Source organism: Homo sapiens, chromosome 22, assembly GCF_000001405.40.
Source record: "Homo sapiens chromosome 22, GRCh38.p14 Primary Assembly".
NCBI classification, from domain to species: domain Eukaryota; kingdom Metazoa; phylum Chordata; class Mammalia; order Primates; family Hominidae; genus Homo; species Homo sapiens.
In genome coordinates this window covers 38,084,522-38,111,022 of record NC_000022.11, presented here as the reverse complement: position 1 = coordinate 38,111,022, position 26,501 = coordinate 38,084,522, and the positions used below count along the sequence as shown (strand labels likewise).

The window sequence follows — 26,501 nt, the reverse complement described above, 5'->3', positions numbered from 1 at the left end:
GAGAAGTAAAGCGGCGTTCCCCTCCAGGGGCTGCTGCTGCTGGGTCTGGCAGAGAGAGTCCTGGGGGAGGGCATCGGGCAGCGCCCGCCCAGTAAGGTGGGCAATGCCTGGTATAGGCAGGTGGGAGGGCGGGGCCCCCCAGGGTTGGGGTCCTTGAGGAGGGGGTGACCCAGGAGGGGGCTCATCCACATGGGCACTTGTATCAGCCCACAGCTCCAAGGGGTGAATAATTGAAGGGCAGGTCACACGAGCCTGCCCGGCACAGGATGCCTTCCCTGCCGGATCTGGTTACGCCCCAGATCACATTCTGACATCCCGAGTTGGTGAATAATTAAGCTGCCACTCCTCTGAGGCAGGCCTCCATCTCCAGGTCCCTCTCCGAGGCTTCCTCGCTGCCAGCTGAGTCGTGGGCACCTGAGGGACTACCTACCACTGCTCCCGGCTGTGCCATCGCCACCAGCTCCCAGCCTCCTGCTCAGACCCGGGACAGCCCCTCCATGGCCCCCGAGATGGACCAGTTCTACAGGTCCACCATGGCCATCTACAAGGTGAGCACATGGGTGGCCAAGCCAGGCCTGAGCCCCTCCTCCCAGGGCACAGAAATCAGGCCCGCTCTGGAGGACGGAGGGCCAGCCGGGGCTACAGATGTCCTGGAAAGGGAAGCCTGGAGCCAGGCTGGGCCAGGGGTGGGTACGGGGGTAAGGATCCCCGAGAGCACTCAGCCATACAGCGGGAACCCCCAACTCCCAGATGCTGGACAAGGCAGGAGGGAGCCCAAGGCCCAGGGTGGGGAGAGTTGAGTCTGGATGAGAAGGGCCTGGCTGCCCGGCCTGGGAATAAAGAAAGACCCTCCCTCTCTCTCTCTGTCTCTCCCTCTCTCTCTCTCTCTCTCTCTCTCTCTCCCTCTCTCTCTCCCTCTCTCTGTCTCTCTCTCTCTCTGTCTCTCTCTCTCTCTGTCTCTCTCTCTCTCTCTGTCTCTCCCTGTCTCTGTCTCTCTCATTTCTGAGCCCCTCAGACTTCCTACTTCACCCCCGGGGGGTTGTTGCAGCCGCCACAGACATTTATTGAGCGCCTCCTGTGTGCAGGACCCTTTCACCTGGAGGCCTCACACCACCCACCTGTGAGGTGGAAAATGACCACCCTGCTTGATAGATGAGAAAACTGAGACCAAAGAGGTTAAACAGCTCATTCAAGGTCACGGAGGGAGGAAGAGGTGCTGCTGGGATTTGAACCGAGACCCAAGTCCAAGTCCAGGCCCAAGTCCAGGCCCGTCTTCACCATCCGGGGAGCTCTCTGCCCGGCCCCAGCCCGAGGAGGCCCACACTAATCCAGCCACAGCCTTGCCCATGGGGGGCTGTTCTCGGAGGAGGGCGAGAGCTGCCCTTGCCCCGGGGGTGACTGTTGGCAGCCCCAGGCGTGTAGCCCGGCAAGGCCTGGACACAGGGCAGGGCTGAGCCGTGCCCAGTGGGGACCACAGCAGGCGGGCCAGCTTCTGCCCAGCGGGAGGAGGAGAACCTTCCAGGTGCACCATCTCGGGAGGCACCTCGGTCCCGCCAGAGCAGACGTAAGCGGGAGCTGGCTGTGAGGGGACCACAGCTTAGAACAGGACCCCAAAAGATGGGCTCTGAGGTCCCTGCAGCCAAGAGCCAGGATTCTGGGTGAGCCTAGGTTTGTAGATGGGCCCCCCAAAGTCTGGGGCTTCTCACTGGGCTGGGGGTGCCCTGTCCCTGACGCCTGGTGACTTGACTCCATCCGTGGTTCCTTCTCGCTCCCCCATCTCTACACCTTTTTCCTCCCCTGACCCTGGGGTCCAGAGCATCATGGAGCAGTTTAACCCCGCCCTGGAGAACCTGGTGTACCTGGGCAACAACTACCTGCGTGCCTTCCACGGTGAGTGCCTGCCCGGGCCACCGAGCCCCAGCCCTGGGCCTCTGCTGTTCCCACCCACCCAGGCCCCTCCCAGATTCTCTGCATCCCACACCTGTTCATCCTCAACCCTACACCCTCCTACCCACCACCCTCACCCTCACACCTCTGCAGCCAGAGAGGCCTTATGCACCCCCACTCTCCTGTGCCCACGCACCCCAGTCCACACCCAGCACCCCTCATTGCCCCCTCCTTCAGGTGCCTCCAGACACTCCCATGATGCAGTACCAGGCCCTGCAGGCCCACACAGCCCCAGGGCAGCCCCTGACAGTGCATACATTTCTAGGCGTCACCTGGATGCCACCAGCTGAACCCACCCCTATACTCAGTCCCACCTCTGCACCCAGGCTCACACAGCAGCTGGCTTCCTCACTTCAACTGGCCACCACCCACACACCCTGCAGCTGGCCTTGACATTCACTCGGTCCCCGTGCAAACCCTTGTACCCGTCCGCTGTGGCCGCTCATACCTGCCAATAGCACCCCACTACCCACCAGTGCTGATCAACCCTGAACCTCAGGGCCTCCCATCCCCCTGCTTCTTAGATGCTTTCCACGCCACCTCCCTGCCCCCAGCCCTCACCTTATGCCCCTGCACCTGAGTTTCACAGCTCAACTGGTCACACCCTCCTCAGGGGCACACACAGATGCCCACACCCCACCCAGGACAGACACAGTCCCCTCCAGATGAAAAGAGCCTCCAGAAGGGTGGGGCAGAGGCAGGGCTGGACCAGACCTGTCCCTTCTGGTCCACAGCTCTGTCCGAGGCGGCCGAGGTCTACTTCAGTGCCATCCAGAAGATTGGGGAGCGTGCCCTGCAGAGCCCCACCTCACAGATTCTGGGTGAGGCTCCCCCTCCACAGCAGACCCCATTCTTGGGCCCTCCTTTTGCACCCTTGCCCTTCCAGGATGTCCCGAGTCCCTGACACAGGCCTTTCAGCCCAGGGCCCAGAGCCAGACTCTTGTTCTGGGGCCCAGGCTCCCCGCCACCACTCCCTGCCGGGCTGCTCCCAGGCTGGGACACACATGGCCTGGCTCCCAGAGAACCATATGGGAAGTTCCCGGACTTTGGTCCCAAAATCCAGTCTCGGGCAGGCCCTCTGTTGGCTTTCAGCGGAAGAGGGTGGTGGGTGGGCGGGGCAGGCTGCCACACACCAAAGCCACAGCTGCATCCATGCCTCCAGGGGAGATCTTGGTGCAGATGTCTGACACCCAGCGGCACTTGAACTCTGACCTGGAGGTGGTGGTGAGTATCAGGCCCCAGGGCCTGGAGGGGTCACTCGAGGAAAGTGGGCTATGTTCCAAGGAGAGGGCCCAGCCTACCAGATGCCCTTCCCAGGGAGGATGACCGTGGCTGCCCTTCCCAGCACCCGGCTCTGTGGGGCACGGTTCCCTGCAATAGTCGTTCAAGCCTCTAGCAGCCCTAGGAGGCTGGTGGCATTTCTGCCTCCATTTTATAGAGGAAGAAACTGAGTCTCAAAGAGCTAGTCATTGCCTGAGATGCCAGAGTGAATGGAGGCCCAAGGAAGAGAAAGGTCCTTTCACTGCAGCCCTCCTCACTGCAGCCTCCCAGGGAGCAGCCACATGGACCTGACCATGTCACTCCCAGGAGCAGAACCGTTCCACGGCCCCACTGCCCGTAGAACTGAACACAGGCTTCTCAGTGAGGGGTCCCTGGCTCTGTCGATCCAGCAGCTTCTCCTGACACCCCCAACACAGCCCAGCCCCCCGGAAGAGTGGGCCCTCTGCTGGTGTCCCCGCTGCGGGGCTGCTGTCCTGCTGTCCTCTCAGCCTAGAGCCACCGGTCCCTCCCCCTGCCGTCCAGTTGGGAAGCAGCTGTCCCCTCCTTCCCAAAGCCTCCTCTGACTCCCTGGGGCAAGTCCAGTCACCCCTCCCCCTGGACTCCAACAGATGATTCTGTCCGTTCTTAGCTCGTGGTGGGTTCAAAGCCCAGCTTCACCAGTGACTAGTTTTGTGACCTTGGACTCTATGCCTCCACTTACCTATCTGAGGAATGGAGAGAATCATAATAACTGCCTCCCAGGGTTCTTGAGAGGATGACGTGAATTAATAAGCATAAACCGTTTGCCCTGGCCCCTACTTACTGCCCCTGGATACCTTAGCTATGATAACCAGAAGTTAACTCACCTGCCCCTATCCCTCCCAAGACTGGGAGCGCCGCAGAGCCTTCCTTCCTCTCCGTAGCTCCAGGGCCTTCCGCCAAGCAGGGCTTCAGTGACACAGGGGAAAGAAAAGAGCTGAGGGAGTCAGCTTGGCTAGATGGAGAGAAGAGAGGGCTTTCCAAGGGAGCATGGCAGCGGGCTGCGCACAGCCATGAGCGGGCAGCAGGCAGGCATGAGCCAGGGCTTGGGCGCAGGGGCTGAGTGGGAGAGGTGGGGTGGGGCCTGGTGGTGAGGCAAGTGGGAAGGTTCGGAAGGAAATTTTAACTAATTGTTCTCCCTCCAATGTGTGAAGGGGAGCCCCTGGAAGTCAGGGTGCTCTTTGGGGGATACCATAAAATACTAGTCAGTTGGGCATGGGGAACAATCTTTTTTTTTTTTTTTTTTTTAATTTTTTTGAGACGGAGTCTTGCTCTGTCGTCCAGGCTGGAGTGCAGTGTCACAATCTCAGCTCACTGCAACCTCCGCCTCCTGGGTTCATGCCATTCCCCTGCCTCAGCCTCCCGAGCGGCTGGGATTACAGGCACCTGTCATCATGCCTGGCTAATTTTTTTATTTTTTTGCAGAGACGGGGTTTCACCATGTTGGCCAGGCTGGTCTTGAACTCCTGACCTCAAGTGATCTGCCCGCCTCGGCCTCCCAAAGTGCTGGGATTACAGCCGTGAGCCACCGCGCCTGGCGGGGGAACAATCTTTCTATTAGTAAATGCACATCCCACGCACACACAACAAGGCCCCAAGGCCCCTGGGCTCCGTGGACTCCTTGGGCACTTTAGGATGTAGCATTAAGCCCCTGCCACCCCCTTGGATGTGGGCACGGAGTTATGGAGCCTGTGGGTTCCTGTCCTTGTGTTCAATGGCTGTCCTTGTCACTTGTGGCACACCTGGGCTGGGCAGGGATGAGTGTCACCCAGGCCCACTCTGTAAGGAGAGCTGTCCTCTCCAGGCAGTGGCATCTCAGCTGTGATAACTGGGCAGGTCCACTGGCCAGAATCATACCAGACAGAACAGTGCCAGAGGCCACCCCCACCTGCAGCTCATTTATTTGATCCCTACTGACTGCCCTGTGCCAGGCACTGTGGTAGGCCGCGGGAATACAGCAGACAAAAACCCCTGCCATGCCAAAGAGGGAGCCAGAAAAACCCACAGTGAGTAAGTGAATCGATACGTAACACGTTCCATGCAAAATACACTAGGAGAAAAGTAGAGCAGGGAGGGGATGTCTTTGGGGGGTGCAGTTTTTAACAGACGAGGTGACACTGAAAAAGGCCTAAAGGTCCCGGCGCAGTGGCTCACGCTTGTAATCCCAGCACTTTGGGAGGCCGAGGTGGGCGGATCACCTGAGGTCAGGAGTTCGAGACTAACCTGGCCAACATGGTGAAACCTTGTCTCTACTAAAAATACAAAAAATTAGCCGCGCATGTGGTGGCGGGCGCCTGTAATCCCAGCTACTCGGGAGGCTGAGGCAGGAGAATCGCTTGAACCTGGGAAGCGGAGGTTGCAGTGAGCAGAGATCGCACCACAGCACTCCAGCCTGGGTGACGGTGAGACTCTGTCTCAAAAAAAAAAAAAAAAAAAAGAAAAGAAAAAGGGCTGAAGGAGGTAAGGGCATTAGCCAGGAATACATCTGGGGGAAGGGCAATCTGGACAGAAAGGACAGCTTGTGGAAAGACCGAAGGCTGCAGTAGAGGGCAAGTCTCAGATGACCAGCCATTAACAGGTCCTGACTCTGCAGGCCCTGGCGGGACTCTGGCCCTTCCTCTCAGTGAAAGGGACACCTTCGGAGGGTCTTGAGCCAAGGAGGGACAGGATCTGACTTAGAATGTTTTAAAAAATGTTTGTTATTGTAAACTAAAACACAGGCACAGAAAATCTTGCTGAACAGATTAGAGCGTAATGAATCATTATTAGGCAAACCAGACCTGAAACTACCATGCAGAACTTTGCCAGCCTCCCCAGAAACCCCTTCAGGTGCCCCCATCAAAACCACAGCCTCTCCCTCCCTCTAAAAGCGGCCGCTGGTCTGAGGTCGCATTTCCTTGTGTGCCTTCGTGGTTTATCACTCTACCTTACAGCCTGAGACACTAGAATTTGGTTTCACTCTTAAAAAAAAAAAAATTTTTGGCTGGGTGTGGTGGCTCACGCCTGTAATCCCAGCACTTTGGGAGGCCAAGGCAGGCGGATCACGAGGTCAGGAAATCAAGACCATCCTGGCTAACACGGTGAGACCCCATCTTTACTAAAAATACAAAACAATTAGCCGGGCATGGTGGTGGGCGCCTGTAGTCCCAGCTACTCGGGAGGCTGAGGCAGGAGAATGGCGTGAACCCGGGAGGCGGAGCTTGCAGTGAGCCGAGATCGCGCCACTGCACTCCAGCCTGGGCGACAGAGCAATACTCCGTCTCAAAAAAAAAAAAAAAAAGAAATTTGAGTCTCTTCGAACCTCCGGGTTCCCCTTCCGTCTGTTTCTTTTCCTTACACTTTGTCTGTTGGAGACCCTGGGACCATCTGCTCTGACTTTCCCATAGTCTGGAAGTTGCTGAGGATGCTCTCCTAGTATGTTCAGCTGGTTTCTCTGTCCTCTGGATCCGGAGCCTTGCCCTTGGCAAGACCAGAGGGGCTACTGAGTTCTTCCACCAGGAGGCATCACTGTGTCTAGATCTGCCATGCATCCGGGGATACACACCACTGTTCCTCCCATGCCTTTTCAAAGCATTCTTAGCTAGGATGCTTCCAGAAAGAGACCCTTCCCCTTATCTGCTATTATTACCCACTGGCACGTTTCATATGGAGAGGGCAGGAGAAAGGTTTCATTCATTCCCTTTATTCATCAGGTTCCAAGATAATGAATTTGTGCCCTGTCATCCTCTGAAGGTGAAGCCACCAATTAACTTTATGTTTTTACTAACACCATTATGTAGTACTTTTATTTACTATAATCAATATCGTAGATTTAAACTCATTTGACCTATTTCAATGGTTGGCAATTATTACGTTTACTGAAGTTGAAAATGTCCTATTTTTGGCCAGTGGAAGCTTCTTTTTTTTTTTTTTTTGACATGGAGTCTCACCCTGTCACCGAGGCTGGAGTACAGTGATGCAATCTCGGCTCACTGCAACGTCCGCCTCCCAGGTTCAAGCAATTCTCCAGCCTCAGCCTCCCATGTAGCTGGGACTACAGGTATGCAACACTGCATCTAGCTAATGTTCATATTTTTAGTAGAGACGGGGTTTCACCTTGTTGGCCAGGCTGATCTCGAACTCCTAACCTCAGATGATCTGCCCAGTTTAGCCTCCCAAAGTTCTGGGATTATAGGTGTGAGCCACTGCACCTGGCCATTGGAAGCCTCTTTAATCTGCCTCCTGAGTCCTTGCTATCTGCCTGACAAGAGGTTCCAGGCTTATCTGCTACTTGTGCTGTGTGAGACATGGAATGAGCCATTTCTTCATGAAGCCCTGTTTTTACTTTTTGTTTTTAGTGCAAGTGGTATTTCAAAGCCATAATCTGAATACTAGTGGTGCTCATTGCCACTGGCTTGATCTTTGTTTCTAGGCTTTTTTGGTGGCTGTGCAACGCATAGATGGATACATATTTATATGCAATGTGTGTGTACACACATATAACACATATTCTCTCGCTCTGTCTCTTTATTTCTATTGCTGCTGGACAAATTCATCTTATTTATTTATTTATTTATTTTCAGAGGCAGAGTCTCACTCTGTCACCCAGGCTGAAGTGCAGTGGTACAATCATAGCTCATTGCAGTCTCCAACTCCTGGGCTCAAATGATCTTCCTGCCTCAGCCTCCCAAGTAGCTGGGACTATAAGAAAATGCCACCGTGCCTGGCTAATTTTTTTTTTTTTTTAATTTTGAGATGGAGTGTCACTCTGTCTCCCAGGCTGGAGTGCAGTGGTGTGATATCGGCTCACTGCAAGCTCCGCCTCCCAGGTTCACGCCATTCTCCTGCCTCAGCCTCCCGAGTAGCTGGGACCACAGGCGCCTGCCACCATGCCGGGCTAATTTTTTTTTTTTGGTATGTTTAGTAGAGACGGGATTTCACCGTGTTAGCCAGGATGGTCTTGATATCCTGACCTCGTGATCCACCCGCCTTGGTCTCCCAGAGTGCTGGGATTACAGGTGTGAGCCACCGCACCCGGCCGTGCCTGGATAATTTTTAAACTCTTTTTATAGAGATGAGGTCTCACTATGTTGCCCAGGCTGGTCTTGAACTCCTGGCCTCAAGCAGTCCTCCCATCTGGGCCTCCCAAAGTGCTAGGATCACTTTTAGACCATTGATTCATTTTCTTCTGTTTCATGGGCCTTTCTGGTGTGTTTTGGTTGTCAGTAGGAATGTTATTCTCTTCCATATTCTCTTTTTTCTAATAATAACTTTCTATTGGATTTCACCTCAGAGATTGTCTGTGGAAAAGTAGGTTTTTTCCTGAAATTGTAAAAGGAGCACAGTCAAGACAGCTCTTCTCACTTTGCAAGATCTCTTTCTGTTGTTCTTATGTAGTTTTCCAAAAATATGGCAGCTCCCTTTCTGCAATTTCCTGGTTCCGTTCATGCTCCTACTTTTGTTAGACTTTCTCTTTCCTTTTGTGTCTGTTGTCCTTGTTCCTGATTTTGATCCTCCTCACGGCATTCTCTCCTCCACATGGGCCCTGTCTGGATGGGAGCCTGGCTGGTCAGTTTCAAGACTTCCTAGAGGCTCGACTACTCCAGCCCCTTCAGACTTTACCAGGGACCTCTTACCTTCACCCTTTGGACTCACAAACTCCTTGGAGTTTCAGCTGCTGTTCACAGACTGGCCTACTGAGCTTCCCATGACCATCTGCTGGCCATGTCGGGGTGCACCTGTGCTCAGGTCCCTCAACGCCCAGCTACCTCCCACTGCTCCATCCACATGGATGCTGGTCACACTGACCTCACAGCCGGTGCTGATTTTTGTTTGGAGGGTTGTAGAGATATACTGTCATAGTTTTGTTCTGAATGTTGTCTTGAGTTTATTTTTTTCTTTTGGTGGTTTTGTTTGTTTTGTTTTGTTTGTTTGTTTGTTTTTTGAGACGGAATCTTGCTCTGTCACCCAGGCTGGAGTGCAATGGCGCCATCTCAGCTCACTGCAACCTCTGCCTCCCGGGTTCAAGCGATTCTCCTGCCTCAGCCTCCCAAATAGCTGGGATTATAGGCGCGTGCCACCATGCTCGGCTAATTTATGTACTTTTAGTAGAGATGGGGTTTCACTATGTTGGCCAGGCTGGTCTCAAACTCCTGACCTCAGGTGATCCACACACCTTGGCCTTCCAAAGTGCTGTGATTACAGGCATGAGCCACTGTGCCTGGACTTTTTTTTTTTTTTTTTTTTTTTTTGAGACAGGATCTCACTGTGTCACCCAGGCTGGAGTACAGTGGTGCAGTCACAGCTCATTGCAGCCTAGACTTCCTGGGCTCGGGCAATCCTCTCACCTCAGCCTCCCAAGTAGCTAGGACCACAGGCATGAACCACCACGTCTGGCTTTTTTTTTTTTTTTTTTTTTTTTTTTTTATGTAGAGACAGCATCTTACTATGTTGCCCAGGCTGGTCTGGAACTCTTGGGCTCGAGCAATCCTCCCACCTCAGCCTCCCAAAGTGCTGGAATTACAGGTGTGAGCCACTGTGCCTGGCTAGTCTTAAGTTTTTTATTTTGCTGTCTGGTTTCTCCATTCATTTTTAGGAGAAGATGAAGGAAGGTTTTGAAACTACATTTTATTTCCACCATCATCCCAGACCTGAGTTTTTTTTTCTACTGAGGTAAAGTTTACATACAATAAGATGAAGTTCCTAAATATGTTGAGTGTTAAGTTCAACAGATTTTGACAATTGTATGCCCTGTGTGGCCACCATGTTAAACAGGATTTATTTAGAACGTTTCCATCAACCCAGAAAGTTCTCTTATGTCCCTTTTGTCAGTGTCGCCCCCTAGGGGCAAAGGCTTTCTGACTTCTATCTCTGCAGATGAATTTTGCCTGTTCTAGTGCTTCGTTTGAGTGGAACTGTGCCCTGTATATTCTTTTGTGTCTAGCTTCTTTCACTCAGCATAAGGTCTGTAAGATTAATTCATGTTGTTGCATTGTATGAATCTGTTTGTGTCACTATCAAGGAATACCTGAGACTGGGTAATTTATAAGGAAAAGAGGTATATTTTGGCTCATGGTTCTGCAAACTGTACAAGCATGGCACCAACATCTACTTAGCTTCTCATGAGGGCCTCAGGAGGCTTACAATCATGGCGGAAGGTGAAGGGGTAACAGGTGCGTCACATGGCAAGACAGCAAGAGAGAGAGTGGGGAGGTGCTAAGCTTTATTTATTTATTTATTTATTTATTTATTTATTTATTTATTTATTTATTGAGACGGAGTTCCACTCTGTTGCCCAGGCTGGCATGCAGTGGTGCGATCTCGGCTCACTGCAACCTCCGCCCCCTAGGGTTCAAGCGATTCTCCTGCCTCAGCCTCCCGAGTAGCTGGGATTACAGGCAGCCGCCACCAGGCCCAGCTGATTTTTTTATTTTTAGTAGAGACGGGGTTTCAGCATGTTGGCCAGGCTGGTCACAAGCTCGGCCTCCCAAAGTGCTGGGATTGCAGGTGTGAGCCACCACGCCTGGCCTGAGTTCACAAAATTTAAGGAGGCAGTGCTGTGACATTCACACTAGCGCAGGGTCGGGAAGGCTTCCTTTTGATTGGATCCAGCGGAAAGCGGCCCCTCAGAAGCATCTACCTGGCATTTCTATAACAACGCACGTTTCTGTTCACCGTTGTATCACTCTGGAAACCTACGTGCCACTTCCTTCTTGGTGCTGACACCCTTCTCTACACACACACTGGCAGCCATAGCTCAGGGTTTCAGTACCAAAGAGGCACCCTCAAGCTCCCTTGCAGACTAGTGGGCACCAAAGTTTGGGAAATAACTGTGGGAGAAAACCTTAAACTTTAGAAATTTTATTATGTAGTGATTTTTTTCTGCATATTGGGAGGAGATTGCCAGCATTCCTTTTCTGGGCGATCCCCTAGCCCCGTGGGATGATGTGAGGACACCTAGAGCAGGAGGAAGGACCCACTGTGGGAAAAGGGTGTGTGGACAGAGGCTGCGCAGAGGCGGGAGGGCCTCCAGAGGAGGACGTGTCCGCGGGGTTGGGGAAGCACCTCTTGTGTCCCATGCAGCCTGAACCCTCCTGCAGCTGGAAGGGTTTAGGTCCAACTGCCCAACAACATGGAGTGACTCAGAGAAAGCTGATGGAGAATACAGGGTACCAGGGCATCACCTGGGCCCACAGAATCGAAGCTCATCAAGCTCTCAGAGAGCAGCTGGTCAAGCCTTTCCTTTTTCTTTTTTTTTTTCTTTTGAGACAGAGTTTCACTCTGTCACCCAGGCTGGAGTGCAGTGGCGTGATCTCCGCTCACTACAACCTCCGCCTCCCTGGTTCAAGTGATTCTCCTGCCTCAGCCTCCTGAGTAGCTGGGATTACAGGCACGCACCACCATGCCTGGCTGATTTTTGCATTTTTAGTAGAGATGGGGTTTCACCATGTTGGCCAGGCTGGTCTCGAACTCCTGGCCTCAGGTGATCCACCCACCTCAGCCTCCCAAAGTGCTGGGATTACAGGCGTAAGCCACCATGCCCAGGCTGGTCAAGCCTTTCCTGTTACAGATGGGGCAACTGAGGCCCAGAGATGGGTGGCAACTTGTCCAAAGTCACAAAGCAAATAGGAGGCAGAACTAGAATGAGGACGAAGCTTCTGAGCCTGAGCCCAGCAGCCTTTCCTGTCCTGCCCCGGTGGCCAGACATCCACTTGCCATGGGAACCTGTCACCTCCCAGGCCCATCTGAGACCTCAACAGCTTCTGAGTGTTTTTGCTGGGCTGTGCCCTGCCCATGGTGCTGAGGACACAGAGGTGAGCCATGGCCATAGCAGCTCCAAGGGGCTATGCATGGGGCCCTGGCCATAAATTCTGTATACAACTGGAGGAATGGACAACGAAGGAACAAATGTGCACCCATTCCAGAGACAAAACGAGGGAGCAATGGATTCTGCTTGGGAAAGTCAGGAAGACAGGAAGCTGGCACTGGAAGATAGGGAGGAAATTCCAGGCAGAGGGAATGATGTCATCAAAGCACAAACTAAGAATAAGACAAAAAATAAGAACCAGAAGACTCTGACACACTTATCAAGGGTTCGTTTCCAGGCAGCACTGCACTAAACATTGTGAATGTTTAACCATTTCGTCCTCCCTCCAGCCAGGTGGTGTTCTTGTCTCCGTTTCTCTGACAGGTGGGCAGGTGCCTGGTATATTAGGAGCACGATGGGCAGTCTGTTATAGCAGAAAGTGCAAGGGGGTGCTGGGGCCTGGGAACAGTAGGGGGGCCTTGATCACCCTCACCCTGCACTCCGCTCAGGTGCAGACATTCCATGGAGGCCTGCTGCAGCACATGGAGAAGAACACCAAGCTGGACATGCAGTTCATCAAAGTGAGTCTGGCCTCCCCACTCGGCCCCCAACTCACTGCAGGCAGGACCCCCTCTCCCATTTGACAGGTAGGCACACACAGGCCAGTGCTGAGCACTGACTGGGCCCCAGATTATCCATGTTCCCAGCTGAGCCCCAAGTCTCCAAACTTCCAGGGCCCTGATCTCTGGGAGGGGTGTCTTGAGCTCTCTGATGTGGGGGGATTCTCCCTCCCCGACTCCACCCTACCCCAGGACAGCCGCCAGCACTATGAGCTCGAGTACCGCCACCGAGCGGCCAACCTGGAGAAGTGCATGTCTGAGCTGTGGCGCATGGAGCGCAAGAGAGACAAGAACGTGCGGGAGATGAAGGTGCGAGGGCCGGGAAGCGGGGGTGGGCCAGGAAGGGCGGGTGGGCAGACCTCGGGGCGAGACCGGGCCCTGGGAACCCCGAACGCCTCCCTGAGCTCCCCCACCGAGCACCAGCCCAACTGTGATGAGCGTGGCTGGGGAGGTCAGCCAGCCCCTGGTGGGGTGGGCGTAACTAGCTCCTAGGGCCACGCCCAGCACCGCCCCTTGCCCTGTGGCTTACTGGCCTTACCCAGAATCCCCGGGCCTCTCCTGCAAACCCATCCCACCTCCCCCATCTCCTACTTCACCGAGAAAATTGCTCGCTTGAACATGGTGCCAAAGGTGTCATCCACCAGCCGCCCATCCTCCTCCCCTCTCTCCTGCCTGGCAGAGGTATCCCGCCCCCGGCTAGGGCCATTCCCCTTCCTGAGCCTGGGGCCCCATCCCTGGCCTCTGTCTCCAAGATCCAAACCCATGGATTAACCCTCTGCCTCCCTTCCCGTCTCTTCTGGCTCCTTTAAGTGAGCTCACGCCTCCCCTCCTCAGAATCTTCCCCCCAAGTAGGGGCTATTAACCTACTCATTCATATTCTCATTAAACCCGTCCCCCTGCCCCCCCAGCCCGTGCTTGGGCTTGTGCTGGGTGCCAGGGACAGAGCGAAGGCTCAGACAGCAGCCCTGCTTGTGAGAAGCACCTGGGAGAGGGAGACGCAGGGCCCAGACTCATAACAAGGCTGCTGATGATGGGGCAGGCTCAGGAGCTAGGATGGGCCGGGTGATGGGGGGTGGGCTTGGGGAGAGGGCAGTCAGGAAGAACAGGGGGCTTGAACAGCTGGCGCCTGTGGGCGAGGGGGGTGGGATGAGACACACCCACCGCCCCCAGCCAGAACTCCCGTTCCCCCCCAGGAGAGTGTGAACCGGCTGCACGCACAGATGCAGGCCTTCGTGTCTGAGAGTCAGCGGGCGGCTGAATTGGAAGAGAAGCGGCGCTATCGCTTCCTAGCAGAGAAGCACCTGCTACTTTCCAACACCTTCCTGCAGTTCTTCGGCCGGGTGAGTTGGACTGGGGGGCAGCAAGCGGGGCGCTTCTAGGAGCTGCCCCCTCCTGAGTGGCCGTACATAGAGGTTTCCCTCCCTTCTTCCCTCTTCCCTCCCTGCCTGCCTGTCTGTAGAAATTCATTTTATTTTGCTATCTCCATCCATTTCTTCCTTTGTTTCTGGGTTTGCTTGTATCACTGTATATTCACTCATTTATTCACTCGTGATATTGTTTGTTTTTAATGCATTCACGAATTCATGCATTTATTTATTCATGTGTGGACCATTTTTTAATTCCTGTTTGTATATTCTCACAATTCACAAATTCATTGATAGGTGTGCTCAGTTATCGTCTATTAATTTTATCATATTATTTATTTATTTATTTTTTGAGACAGAGTTTCACTCTTGTTGCCCAGGCTGGAGTGCAACGGCACAATCTCGGCTCACTGCAACCTCTCCCTCCCGGGTTCAAGCGATTCTCCTGCCTCAGCCTCCCGAGTAGCTGGGACTACAGGCATGTGCTATCACGCCCGGCTAATTTTTGTATTTTTAGTAGAGACGGGGTTTCGCCATGTTGGCCAGGCTGATCTCAAACTCCTGACCTCAAGCGATCTGCCTGCTTCGGCCTCCCAAAGTGCTGCGATTACAGGCATGAGCTACCATACCCAGCCATTTTATCATATTATTTAAATCCTCTATGCTCTTGCATTGTTCTGTCTGCTAGACTAGTCAGACTCTCTCATCTCTCATTGGATTTCTAATAGATTTCACTTTCTGAATTGAGCTGCCATGTTGTTTGGCGTTTTTTGGCTATAACTATTCTACCTTCTTTGTAAATATTGCCATTTATGTACTTAATGTCTCTCTTAAGTTTGATGCTTTTAATTCCGCCTTGTCTGATATTAATACTGCTCTATTTTCTCTTCTCTTTGCTTATCTCTTTGTATGTTAAGTATACTTTCTGTTACTGACTTTTGAGTTTTTGACCAGTCTTACAGTCTGTGTCTTCTAATAGAAAAGGAATTCAGCCCATTCCCATTTAACATAATAATGAAGATACCTGGGTTTTATTCCTTTTAGATAACTTGAGCTAACTGTATTTACTTTGTCATTTCCTCTTTTTCTCCCACACTATTTCTTGTCAGTTTGGTTGAGTTATTATACTATACATTCCCCTTTTCCCTTTATTAATTTAGAAATTGCACTATTTTTTTCTCTCTACCTGTGGTGACCTCACTTTGTGACTTTCATAATCACATATATATCCACCTATTTTCCAAAAATGCCAACTTCACCCTACTACAGACACACACTGTTCAGTCCATCGCTCCGCCAATTCATAAGATGAGACCTTGATTTAAAGCTTTCCACAAAAATTAGGCTGGGCGCGGTGGCTCACACCAGTAACCCCAACACTTTGGGAGCGCGAGGTGGGTGGATCGCTTGAGGTCAGGAGTTCGAGACCAGCCTGGCCAACATGGCGAAACCCCGTTTCTACTAAAAATACAAAAATTAGCTGGGCGTGGTGGCAGGCACTTGTAATCCCAGCTACTCAGGAGGCTGAGGCAGGAGCATTGCTTGAACCTGGGAGGCAGAAGTTGTAGTGAGCCAAAATCAAGCCACTGCACTCCAGTCTGGGCGACAGAGTGAGACTAAGTCTCAAAAAAAAAGATGAGATAATACCTTAAGAAGTATTTTCCTGCCCTCCAACTATTCTGAGGTGGGGCCTTTGGAAAGCTTTTACTCCTGTCTTCATCCTTCCCATCCTCCACTTCCTGGTTTTGCCAAGATAGTTTAGGACTTAGTTTCAGACCTCACTAGTCATCTCTGCAGCATGACCCTTGTATTTTGATAAACTGATTTTATTTATGTGTGTATGTATTTATTTATTTTGAGACGGAGTCTTGCTCTGTTGCCCAGGCTGGAGTGCAGTGGCGCAATCTCAGCTCCCTGCAACCTCCACCTCCCAGGTTCAAGTGATTCTCCTGCCTCAGCCTCCCAAGTGCTGGGATTACAGGTGTGCGCCACCATGCCCAGCTAATTTTTGTATTTTTAGTAGAGACAGGGTTTCACCATGTTGGCCAGGGTGGTCTCGAACTCCTGACCTCAGGTGATCCACCTGCCTCGGCCTCCCAAAGTGCTGGCATTACAGGCATGAGCCACCACGCCCGGTCCTGGCTTGGGGTTCTTATCCCTCCCACGCCTCCCACGCCTCCCACGCCCTCCCCGAGTCTCTGGATCTGAACCCACGGGCCCAGGGATACATGACTGGATCCAAAGACCCAGATTTCGGCTCAGGCTCTCATCTGCCCACTGTCACCGCCTCACCCGGCCCCAGGCTCAGCCTTCTCGTCCCCTGCTATCCCACAAAAGGTCTGCCAGGGAGAAACAACTTCCTTTTTTGAAAAACAGTTTTATTGAGATATAATTCACATACGATTCACCCATTTACAGTGTACACTTTCTGGTTTGTAGTATATTCACAGAGTCATGCATCCATCACCACTATCAAGCTTAAAATATTTTCAATACCCTCCACCACAGTAACCCAGTACCTCGGCCAGGCGCGGTGGCTCACACCTGTAATCCCAGCACTGTGGGAGGCCGAGGCGGGTGGATCACCTGAGGACAGGAGTTCGAGGCCACCCTGGCCAACATGGTGAAAACCCGTCTCTACTAAAAATACAAAAGTTAGCCAAGCGTGGTTGTACATGCCTGTAATCCCAGCTACACAGGAGGCTGAGACAGGAGAACTGCTTGAACCCAGGAGGTGGAGGTTGCAGTGAGCCAAGATTGCACCACTGCACTCCGGCCTGGACAAGAGCGAAATTCCGTCTCAAAAAAAAAATACAAACCGGTACCCCTTAGCTGTCATTCCCAATCCTCCCACTCCCCCAGCCCCAGGCCACCAGGAATCTACTTTCTGTCTCAATACATTTGCCCATTCTGGACATTTCATATAAACAGAATCATACAATGTGTGTGCTCTTTTGCGACTGGCTTCCTTTTCACTGCTGGATAATATTCCATTGCTTGGATACACCACATTGTATTTACTCGTTTACTCGATGTATTTACTCAGATGTTAGCTGATGGACGCCTGGTTGTTTCCACTCTTTGGCTGTCATGACCACTGCTGCGCTGAGCATCCATGTACGAGTCTTCATGTGGACATATGTTTTCATCTCTCTTGGGTATATAAGAGTAGAATTGTGGGGCCATATGGTAACTCTATGTTTAACTGTTTGTGGAACTTCCAGACCGTTTTCCGGAGTGTTTCCGTGTCCATCAGCAGTTTATGAGGGTTCCAGTTGTTTCACGTCCTCGCTACTATTTGTTACTGTCTTTTTGATAATAGCCATCCTAGCAGGTGTGAAGCGATATCTGATTGCAATATTGATTTCCGGTTCCCAGATGGCTAGTGATGTTAAACATGTTTTCCTGTGCTTCTTAGCTATTTATAGATCTTCTTTGGAAGGAAACTCTTTTTCACCTGTGTTAAACTCCTTTTTGCCTGTAAATAGTTAACCATCAACATTAAGAGAAGAGCTGACCCCCTCCTTGACTGCCTCCTCGTGGGTGAGGGTCCCTCAGGAGGGAGCTGTGGGTTGAACAGGCAGATTTTCCCCTATGCATGGTGTGTTAGTCCGTTGTGCATTGCTATAAAGGAATACCTGAGGCTGGGTAATTTATTTTAAAAGATGTTTATTTGGCTCTCAGTTCTGCAGGCTGTACAAGAAGTGCATTGCCCGCATCTGCTCCTGGCGAAGCCTCTAGAAGCTTACAATCATGGCAGAAGGCAAAGGGGAAGTTCATATCACATGGCCAGAGAGGGAGCCGGTGGGGTGCCACACTCTTTCTTTTTTCTTTTTATTTTAAGATGGAGTTCTGCTCTTGTTGCTCAGGCTGGAGTGCAGTGGCATGATCTCAGCTCACTGCAACCTCCACCTCCTGGGTTCAAGCGATTCTCCTGCCTCAGCCTCCTGAGTAGCTGGGATTACAGGCATGCACCACCATGCCCGTTAATTTTTGTATTTTTAGTAGAGACGGGGTTTCACCATGTTGGCCAGGCTGGTCTTGAACTCCTGACCTCAGGTGATCCACCCACCCACCTCGGCCTCCCAAAGTGCTGGAATTAAGGTGTGAGCCACCGCGCCCGGCCACTGCAATCTTTTAAACAAGGAGATCTTGCATGAACTCATACCACTCATTACCGTGGGGTACAGCACCAAGCCATTTATGAGGGAGCTGCCCCCATCACCTCCCACTAGATCCCACCTCCAACACTGGGGGGTCAGATTTCAAGATGAAATTTAGAGAGGACAAATATCCAAACCATATCACATAGGGAGCAAGTAACATGTTGTCTGACCCAGCTGGACTTTAAAACATCCAAGATCTAACTCCTAAGATAGCTAAGCATATATATTTACTTCTTGTTCTATTTATAAGTAGAAGGCACATTTGGGGTGGGCGTGGTGGCTCATGTCTGTAATCCCAGCACTTTGGGAGGTCGAGGTGGGTGGATCACCTGAGATCAGGAGTTCAAGACCAGCCTGGCCAACATGGTGAAACCCCGTCTCTACTAAAAATACAAAAATTAGTCAGGAATGGTGGCGGATGACTGTAATCACAGCTACTCGGGAGGCTGAGGCACGAGGATGGCTTGAACCCGGGAGGCAGAGGTTGCAGTGAGCCGAGATTGCGCCACTGCACTCCAGCCTGGGCAACAGAGCAAGGCTCGCTCTCTCTCTCAAAAAAAGAAGGCAGCCTTAGAATAAGATTTAAAGAACTCTAGGTGCCCGGGCACGGTAAATTGTCTTTCTTATTCATCTTCGCTAATTAGTCTTTGCTTAGTCCAAGTCTAGTCAGTAACGTGCCTTCCCACCTCATCCTTAGCTTCTCTCGTTTACTGCAGCTGTGCAAATGTATCTCCAGGATAAATTCCTAGAAGTGGAATTGGTAAGCCCAAGAATATAGTCATTGGTTGCACCAGTTTACACTTCCATCAGTGATGTATGAGTTTCTGTGCTTCTGCACCCCTTGACAACAGTGTATGAGCAAACTTTCTGATCTTGGCTAATTAGAAAGGTAAAAATGGTATCTCGGTGTGGCTTTACCTCATACTTGTCTTAAACGCGAGCTTGACATCTTTTCATGTTTCAAAGCCATTGGATTTTCTGTGCTGTGACATGCCAGTATCTTTTCATCCACTTATTAATTTGTAGGAGCTCTTGATATGTTACTGAAACCAGCTTTTTCTTGGTGATGAGTTGCAAATACAATAGCCAGTTTGCCATTATCATTTGCCTGTGTTATGATTGGTTTTGCTATACAAAAACATTATTTTTATTTAGTAAAATGTATCGGTCTTTTCAAGTTTATGGGTTTGGTGTCATACTTAGAATGGCTGTTTCACTTCGTAAATATATTTTTAAAATTTTTCCCATGGCCTCTCTGATGGTTTTGAAACCGTATGCAGTGTTTCTTCTCACCCACCATTTATTTTAATTTTTGTGGTACATAGTAGGTGTATATATTTATGGGGTACATGAGGTGTTTTGATACAGGCATGCAATGTGTAATCATGACATGCTGGAGAATGGGTATCCATCCCCTCAAGCATTTATCCTTCGTGTTACAAACAATCCAATGATACTTTTAAATCCCTTTTAAAATACGACATGTGACTGGGTGCAGTGGCTCACACCTGTAATCCCAGCACTTTGTGAGGCTAAGGCGGGTGGATCACGAGTTGAGGACTTTGAGACCAGCCTGGCCTATATGGTGAAACCCTGTCTCTACTAAAAATACAAAAATTAGCCAGGAGTGGTGGCGCACGCCTGTAGTCCCAGTTACTTGGGAAGCTGAGGCAGAATAATCACTTGAAGCCGGGAGGCGGAGGTTGCAGTGAGCCAAGATCGTGCCACTGCACTCCAGCCTGGGCAACAGAGCGAGACTCTGTCTCAACAACAACAACAAGAAAGATATGCAGAACCTAATGCTCTCACTTTGCTTATGTCTCTGAAACTTCTGCACAAAGGCCTTCGGGTTTTATCTTTGTGCTATTCTGCTAATTAGTTACTGCAGGGAAACAGAGGGGCTGTCCACTTAGTGACCAGCTAGACTAGTTGCTCCAGTGATGGGAGGCACCAAGCCTTCCCGTTATTGCTGCCTGAGTTTGACGTGAGGTTTTTAGTCATGGGGCCAGGTTCAAGGCAGAAATCATTGAAAGTGTAGTCGTAGGGGGCATCTTCAAGGACAGACCAACACAGACCCCTTCAACGCTTACTGAATGTGACACCTTGAGCCAGTCACTTAACTTCTCTGACCCTCAGTATCTTCTTTTATAAACTGGAGATAATAATTGCACCTACCACCCAGGGCTATTGCGAGAATCAAGTAAGATAATGCAGATAAAGCGTTTAAAGCAGGGCCTGGTATGGAGTCACTGCTCGACAAAGGGAGCTTTTCTTAAGGTGACCGTCTTGAGCTAGGCCTTGAGGGACAGGGATGTTTGAAAAGAGGGAGCGATCTTTATGGCTGGAGAATGCAGCATTCTGATTGTACCTGGGATTTTATTATGACTGAGTGACAACACAGAAAGGTCAGTGCCATTGAAAGAAGTTTTAGGCCAGGCTCGGTGGCTCACGCCTGTAATCCCAGCACTTTGGGAGTCCGAGGGCAGGCAGATCACCTGAGGTCAGGAGTTTGAGACCAGCCTGGCCAACATGGTGAAACCCCGTCTCTACTAAAAATACAAAAATTAGCTGGGCATGGTGGCAGGCGCCTGTAATCCCAGCTACTCGGGAGGCTGAGGAAGGAGAATGGCATGAACCCGGGAGGCGGAGCTTGCAGTGAGCCGAGATCGCGCCATTGCACTCCAGCCTGGGCGACAGAGCCAGACTCCGTCTAAAAAAAAAAAAAAAAAAAAAAAAAAAAAATGCATTTTCCATAGTGTTACTGGGTAAGTAAGTAATGGGACTGGGTTCTTTGGTCGTAGTTTCTATCTAAGCGCCATTCCTGAGCCTATCGCTGCAGGAAGGAGGATGGGGTGATTGAGTGGCCAGGCCTGGGTGCCACCCCTACCCCTGAAGCTGGGCGGTGAGGACAGCCCCGCTCAAAGCACACACATTGACGCGGGAAGCGGGGGGTCAGAGGAAGCTCTTCGTGGAAAATGGAGGTGCCTTTGCCAAAAGTAGAGGGTGCGGGTTGGACGGTGAGCTGGCTTCTGGCTCCTTCCAGCTAGAAAATCCGGTCGTCCCGAGCTGGTAGGGCCTGAGCTCTCAGGTCGAGGGTGTCATTTTGGGTCCCCAGGATTCAGGGAGCCGCCCGGACCTGGCTGACCCCCGTGTCCCCGCCCGGCCAGGCCCGGGGGATGCTCCAGAACCGCGTGCTGCTGTGGAAGGAGCAGTCTGAGGCCAGCCGCAGCCCGTCGCGCGCCCACTCCCCCGGCCTGCTGGGCCCCGCGCTGGGGCCGCCCTACCCCTCGGGCCGCCTGACGCCCACCTGCCTGGACATGGTGAGGCCCTGGGCGCCCCCGCCGCCGTTCGCGCCCCCGCCGCCCCCCGCGGGGGCCCGGGGCCTCAGGCCCCCAGCCTGGAGCCTCCTGCCCCCCAGGCTCCCGCTCTACGCTGCATCCCCCGGCCTGCCCTTCCGCCCCGGCGCGTTCTCCGCGCCCCCGTGGTGGCCCGGTCTCCGCCCCCAGAACCCCTACGCCGACGCCTGGGACTGGGGGTGGGGGCTGGACTAGGGCGCGGCCCCGCCCCCCCCCCCCCCCGCCCCACCCTCCCCTGCCCATCTCCCCCGCAGCCCCCGAGGCCCCTGGGAGAGTTCAGCTCCCCCCGCAGCCGGCACGGCTCCGGCTCCTACGGCACCGAGCCCGACGCGAGGCCCGCGTCCCAGCTAGAGCCAGACCGTCGCTCCCTGCCCCGCACGCCGTCGGCCTGTGAGTGCCCCCGCCCCGGGGCGGCAGGAGGGCCGGGAGAGGCGCGGGGGTGGGGCTGCAGCAGGAGGGATCGAGGGCAGACGCCAGGAAGAACTTCCTGCCCACGTGCCGCCGCGCTCTCCCGCCCACAGCCTCGCTCTACAGCGGCAGCGCCCAAAGCTCGCGCTCCAACTCCTTTGGCGAGCGCCCGGGCGGCGGCGGGGGCGCCAGGAGAGTCCGCGCCCTGGTCTCCCACTCGGAGGGCGCCAACCACACGCTGCTGCGCTTCTCCGCTGGGGACGTGGTGGAGGTGTTGGTGCCCGAGGCCCAGAACGGCTGGCTCTACGGCAAGCTGGAGGGCTCGTCCGCGTGAGTGGGAGCCTTGGAGGGGCCGGGGGTGGGTTGAGAAGAAGGCCCTGGGGGCCGGGAACCCGGGGACCTGCCGGACTGAGGTTTCCCTGGCCTCCCCCGGGGGCCTCGGACAATGCTCCTCTCCTCCCGACCCCCGCACCCTGCCTCAGTTTCCTCATTCATTCAGTGGGAGTAGGAAGAGCCGCCTTACCAAGTTCAGGATGACGGTCCTTGAGAGCGGGCAGAGGATGGGGGATGGGCAGGTTCTTCCAAAAGTGTGGAAATGGCAGAAATCCTATTGCTTGAGCACCTACTGTGTGCCTGCCTCTGGGAGGAGGCTGCTTCCCCTCTGCAGAGTCAGCCCTGGAACTCTGATGCAGGGGGCTGGGCTGGGAGTAGGGGCTTAAATGTGCTCACCTCTTTGCGGTCAGGCTCCGTGGAAATCCTGAAAGCACTTAAACTGGGCTGTTTTGACACTTGACGTGGAGGAGGATTTGGGGAGTTTCATACAGTGAGGTTGCCAGAAAGTGCGGAGGACAGCAGGGCTGGCAGCTAGCAGAGGGAATGGACAGGCACCACTGTCCTGCAGGGGAAAACGGGGCAGATGGGGCTGGCTGGAGCCAGGCAGTGCCCCCTCGGGGCTTCATGGGCAGGGTAGTGTACGGTGCCCACTCCTGCTGCAGGAGAGAAGCAGCGCAGGATGAATGCGTGCATGGGCAGAGCGGGTGGTGGCTGCCCACACCAGCCCACGGATGGATGAGTGGTCCTGTGCTTAATGGATGGTGGACAGGCGAATGGGTGGACCAGGGGATGTGCGTCTGGGTAGGTGGAGGTCTGTGTGTGCAAGTGGATGGCCTTAAATGGCGGGGGGGGGGTCACTGACTGGGTGGTTAGGGACATGGGAGGATGCGCAGATGTGGTGGACAGACACTGATGGGTGATTGGAGAGGTGTGAGTGGTGAGGGGGTGCTGGATGGATTCGTGGCTACACGGGGGATGGAGTATAGACAGGTGAGTGGGGGATAGGTGATGTATGGAGGGACTCATAGTTAGGCGCGAAGGTCCATAGCTGGGCGGGTGACCACAGGGACAGGAACGGAAGGGGGTCAGTGGGGAGAGAGATGACTGAGAACGCCAACGATAGGGACACCTGCTGCTGGAGTGGCTGCTTCACAGACCCACAGCAGAGGACGGTGTGCTGCAGATGCCTTGGGGACCTGAGGATAGAACCTTCTAGATGGAGGCTGTCACACCCTCCTGGGATGTTCTGGGACCATCGTTCCATCCTTGACTCACATAGCCTGTTAGGGAAAAGGATAGCGTGTGTTATTATCAGTAGGCACTTGCAGGTGAAAACAGAAGTAAACATACGGAATTGATTGTAGTCTGTCAATTCGAGGTGAAGTAGCTTCCAGTGACCCTGAGGGGAGGATGTCTTCTTTTGGTCATTGTCCCCAGGCCTGGCTTCTTTTGGTCATTGTCCTCTGCCTCTACCCCACAGGAGCGGTTGGTTCCCCGAGGCGTACGTGAAGGCTCTGGAGGAGGGGCCCGTGAATCCCATGACCCCCGTGACCCCCATGACCTCCATGACCTCCATGTCCCCCATGACACCCATGAACCCCGGGAACGAGCTGCCTTCCAGGTACCTGAGTCATCAGGGGTGGGGCGGGGGTGAGGACGCCGGCAAGGGTGTCACTGCCCAGCGGAGAGGATCTGCAAGGTGCAGGCTTGTTTTTTTGTTTTTTTGTTTTGTTTTGTTTTTTTTTTTTTGAGACAGAGTCTCACCCTGTCACCCAGGCTGGAGTGCAGTGGCGCCATCTTGGCTCACTGCAACCTCTGCCTCCTGCATTCAAGCGATTCTCCTGCCTGAGCCTCCTGAGTAGCTGGGATTACAGGCACACACCACCACACCTGGCTACTTTTTGTATTTTTAGTAGAGACAGGGTTTCACTATGTTGGCCAGGCTGGTCTTGAACTCCTGACCTCAGGTGATCCACCCACCTCGGTCTCCCAAAGTGCTGGGATTACAGGCGTGAGTCACTGCACCCAGGTGGCAAGGTGCAGTCTTGAGTGGGCCCAGCCCCCTTCAGCCCCTGGAGAACCACCGGCCCTGAGCCCCTCTCTCTGCCCTGAAGGTCACTGCGTCCATCCCTCTGCCTCCTCTCAGGACCTCCCTCCGGTCAACAGTCTCCTTTCATGCAGGTGCGGGGAGGAAGCTGTCGGATGCCTCCTGCCTAAGGTGCCCCAGCTACTGGCAGGACAAGGGATTGGACAGGCCCCAACCCCTTTCCTTCCCCCTCCTTTCTCTGGACTTAGGTCCTACCCACTCCGGGGCAGCCACAGCCTCGATGACCTCCTGGACCGGCCGGGCAACTCCATAGCACCCTCGGAGTACTGGGATGGCCAGTCCCGCTCCCGCACCCCAAGCCGGGTGCCAAGCCGTGCCCCCAGCCCTGCACCTCCACCCTTGCCCAGCAGCCGCCGCAGCAGCATGGGCAGCACAGCAGTTGCCACTGACGTCAAGGTGAGCCCTTGCCCGCCCTCTCTTGGGGCCTCCAGCGGGCAGGGAGGCAGGAGAGCAGGGATCCCGAGGCTCTGTCACCGGCTGTCTGGCAGGGGACCCGCCTACCTGGCCTCACTCAGTCTGTTCCTCAGTGCAGGGAGGGGTGGTGTGGGGCTGAGTCTGGGCTGAAGGGGAAGACCAGGGTCCCAGGACAGGGTGTGGCCTGGGGCTAGCCAGTAGGACGGGGCTGGGGGAGGCCAGGGAGGGCATCTCCGATGGAGCCACCCCGGTCTTATCCTGGGGGCGTGGTTAGTCCTTGGAGGTGGTGCTCTGGCCTAGGGGTTTCTCACTTCTGCAACCCACAGAATTCTGGGCTTCAGAACGTCAGGGTCTCATTTTCCAGGAGCCTGGCATGGCAGGGGCTCTCTGGCCCAGTCCTCTGCCCTTGGGCATGGGGAGAGGGAGGGGAGGAGCAAGGGATTGCTTGCCCCTCTCCCCACCAAACCAGCCCTTCCCCACCCCCACTGCAGAAACTGATGTCCTCAGAGCAGTACCCACCACAGGAGCTCTTCCCGAGGTGAGTCCTCACATGGGGGCCCAAACAGTGAGGAGGGTGGCAGGTGCGGCGGCACACACTTGTAGTCCCAGCTACTAGGGAGACTGGGGCAGGAGGATCTCTTGATTCCAACAGTTCAACATCAGCTTGAGCAACACTGTGAGACCCTATCTCTTAAAAGAAAAAAAAAGATGAAGCGGGGCAAGGAGTGGATGGAGACCAAATAGGGGCAGGAGGCAGGACCCAGCTCAGTTGCCCAGCTGCCTTCCTGAGCCATGGCCAGGTGGGGATCATCTGCCCTTCTCACCCCATTCTCTCTCTCCTCCTACAGGGGCACAAATCCTTTTGCCACTGTCAAGCTTCGTCCCACCATCACCAATGACCGCTCAGCACCCCTCATCCGCTGAGGCGGGGTCCGAGGTCGTACCCCACAGTGCACCTGCCCAGGGGCTGTTCAGAGCTGGCAATGGCAGCGACAGCAGCAACAGCAGCAGATCCAAGAAGCGGGTCCCTGAGACGGGGGGTGGCTGCCCTCCCCAGACCACCCCGGCAGCCTGAGCAGCTCCAAAGCACTGGCTTGGGGTCCGAGACCTTCAAAGTAAAGCAGGCGGAATGGGGGGACAGGACAATTTCTCCCCCTCCAGGGGCTCCAGGACTCTCCCTGGGGGGCCCACCTCTTGCCCCCTAACCTCTTTCCCCCTTTTCTGCCCCCGTGGGGAGGAGCCCCTTGTACCTGCTCCGTGCCCAACACATGCCCTCTCTGTACATCTTTTGTAAATGATGAGAAATAAAGGAAGTGGACGCAAAGTGATGCGGCAGCAGGACTGGTGGTGTCTTATTTGGGGGACAGGGCAGGGGGTGAGGGATAGAGACTCCCCCATTGGAGAATGGGGTCTAGGGGGTACTGAGGTCCTGGCTGTTCCCCGGGAAGCCATCTCACTCCCAGCCCCTTGTTTGTTTGTTTGGAGAACTCTTTAGGGCTGCCCCAAAGCCCTCGCGCTGCAGCCCCCATCTCCACCTGCTCTCATTTCGACCTGTGGGTTTCCTAGGAAGTAGCGGCTGCTCGGGTCAGGGGAGAGGTGGCAGTGGCCAAGGGCTGGGACCACCAGCAAGCTGCCCTCAGGCGGCCTGGACACAGCACCCTTTGTTTTGGCCCCTCCCCCCCCCACATTCCCAGGCACAGGC

The 26,501-nt window shown here is 53.8% G+C and overlaps 1 protein-coding gene across 11 annotated transcripts, besides 2 other annotated features; it reads left to right on the top strand.

Annotated features, from left to right (window-relative positions):
* BAIAP2L2 (BAR/IMD domain containing adaptor protein 2 like 2) lies at positions 56 to 26,123 on the top strand. 11 transcript variants are annotated; one of them, XM_005261751.5, is made up of 15 exons: positions 56 to 96; positions 371 to 548; positions 1,815 to 1,890; positions 2,682 to 2,768; positions 3,110 to 3,171; positions 12,541 to 12,612; positions 12,844 to 12,960; positions 13,845 to 13,991; positions 21,349 to 21,501; positions 21,792 to 21,927; positions 22,059 to 22,275; positions 23,759 to 23,899; positions 24,574 to 24,781; positions 25,291 to 25,337; positions 25,648 to 26,123. In XM_005261751.5, the coding sequence occupies exons 2-15, from the start codon at positions 498 to 500 to the stop codon at positions 25,721 to 25,723; spliced, it is 1,590 nt and encodes a 529-aa protein (XP_005261808.1). In that variant the 5' UTR covers positions 56 to 96; positions 371 to 497; the 3' UTR covers positions 25,724 to 26,123. The 11 variants fall into 11 exon arrangements, with proteins under 11 accessions (XP_005261808.1, XP_011528681.1, NP_079321.3 ...); XM_011530379.4 differs by lacking the exon at positions 56 to 96 and having other exon boundaries at positions 339 to 548; positions 24,574 to 24,633; positions 24,676 to 24,781; NM_025045.6 differs by lacking the exon at positions 56 to 96 and having other exon boundaries at positions 339 to 548.
* Positions 12,137 to 12,691: an enhancer, noted in NCBI's record as "H3K4me1 hESC enhancer chr22:38494339-38494893 (GRCh37/hg19 assembly coordinates)". NCBI's record gives its function as "activates a minimal SCP1, AML or CMV promoter by ChIP-STARR-seq in naive H9 embryonic stem cells {active_cell/tissue: H9 hESC(naive)}" and the evidence as "EXISTENCE:reporter gene assay evidence [ECO:0000049][PMID:30033119]".
* Positions 24,234 to 25,013: an enhancer, noted in NCBI's record as "H3K27ac-H3K4me1 hESC enhancer chr22:38482017-38482796 (GRCh37/hg19 assembly coordinates)". NCBI's record gives its function as "activates a minimal SCP1, AML or CMV promoter by ChIP-STARR-seq in naive H9 embryonic stem cells {active_cell/tissue: H9 hESC(naive)}" and the evidence as "EXISTENCE:reporter gene assay evidence [ECO:0000049][PMID:30033119]".

Coding starts and splice junctions, on each gene's coding strand:
- BAIAP2L2 (XM_005261751.5), top strand. CDS start 498: ATGGCCCCCGAGATGGACCAGTTCTACAGGTCCACCATGGCCATCTAC. Junction 1,891..2,681: donor CTACCTGCGTGCCTTCCACG/GTGAGTGCCTGC, acceptor TCTGGTCCACAG/CTCTGTCCGAGGCGGCCGAG. Junction 25,338..25,647: donor CCACAGGAGCTCTTCCCGAG/GTGAGTCCTCAC, acceptor CTCCTCCTACAG/GGGCACAAATCCTTTTGCCA.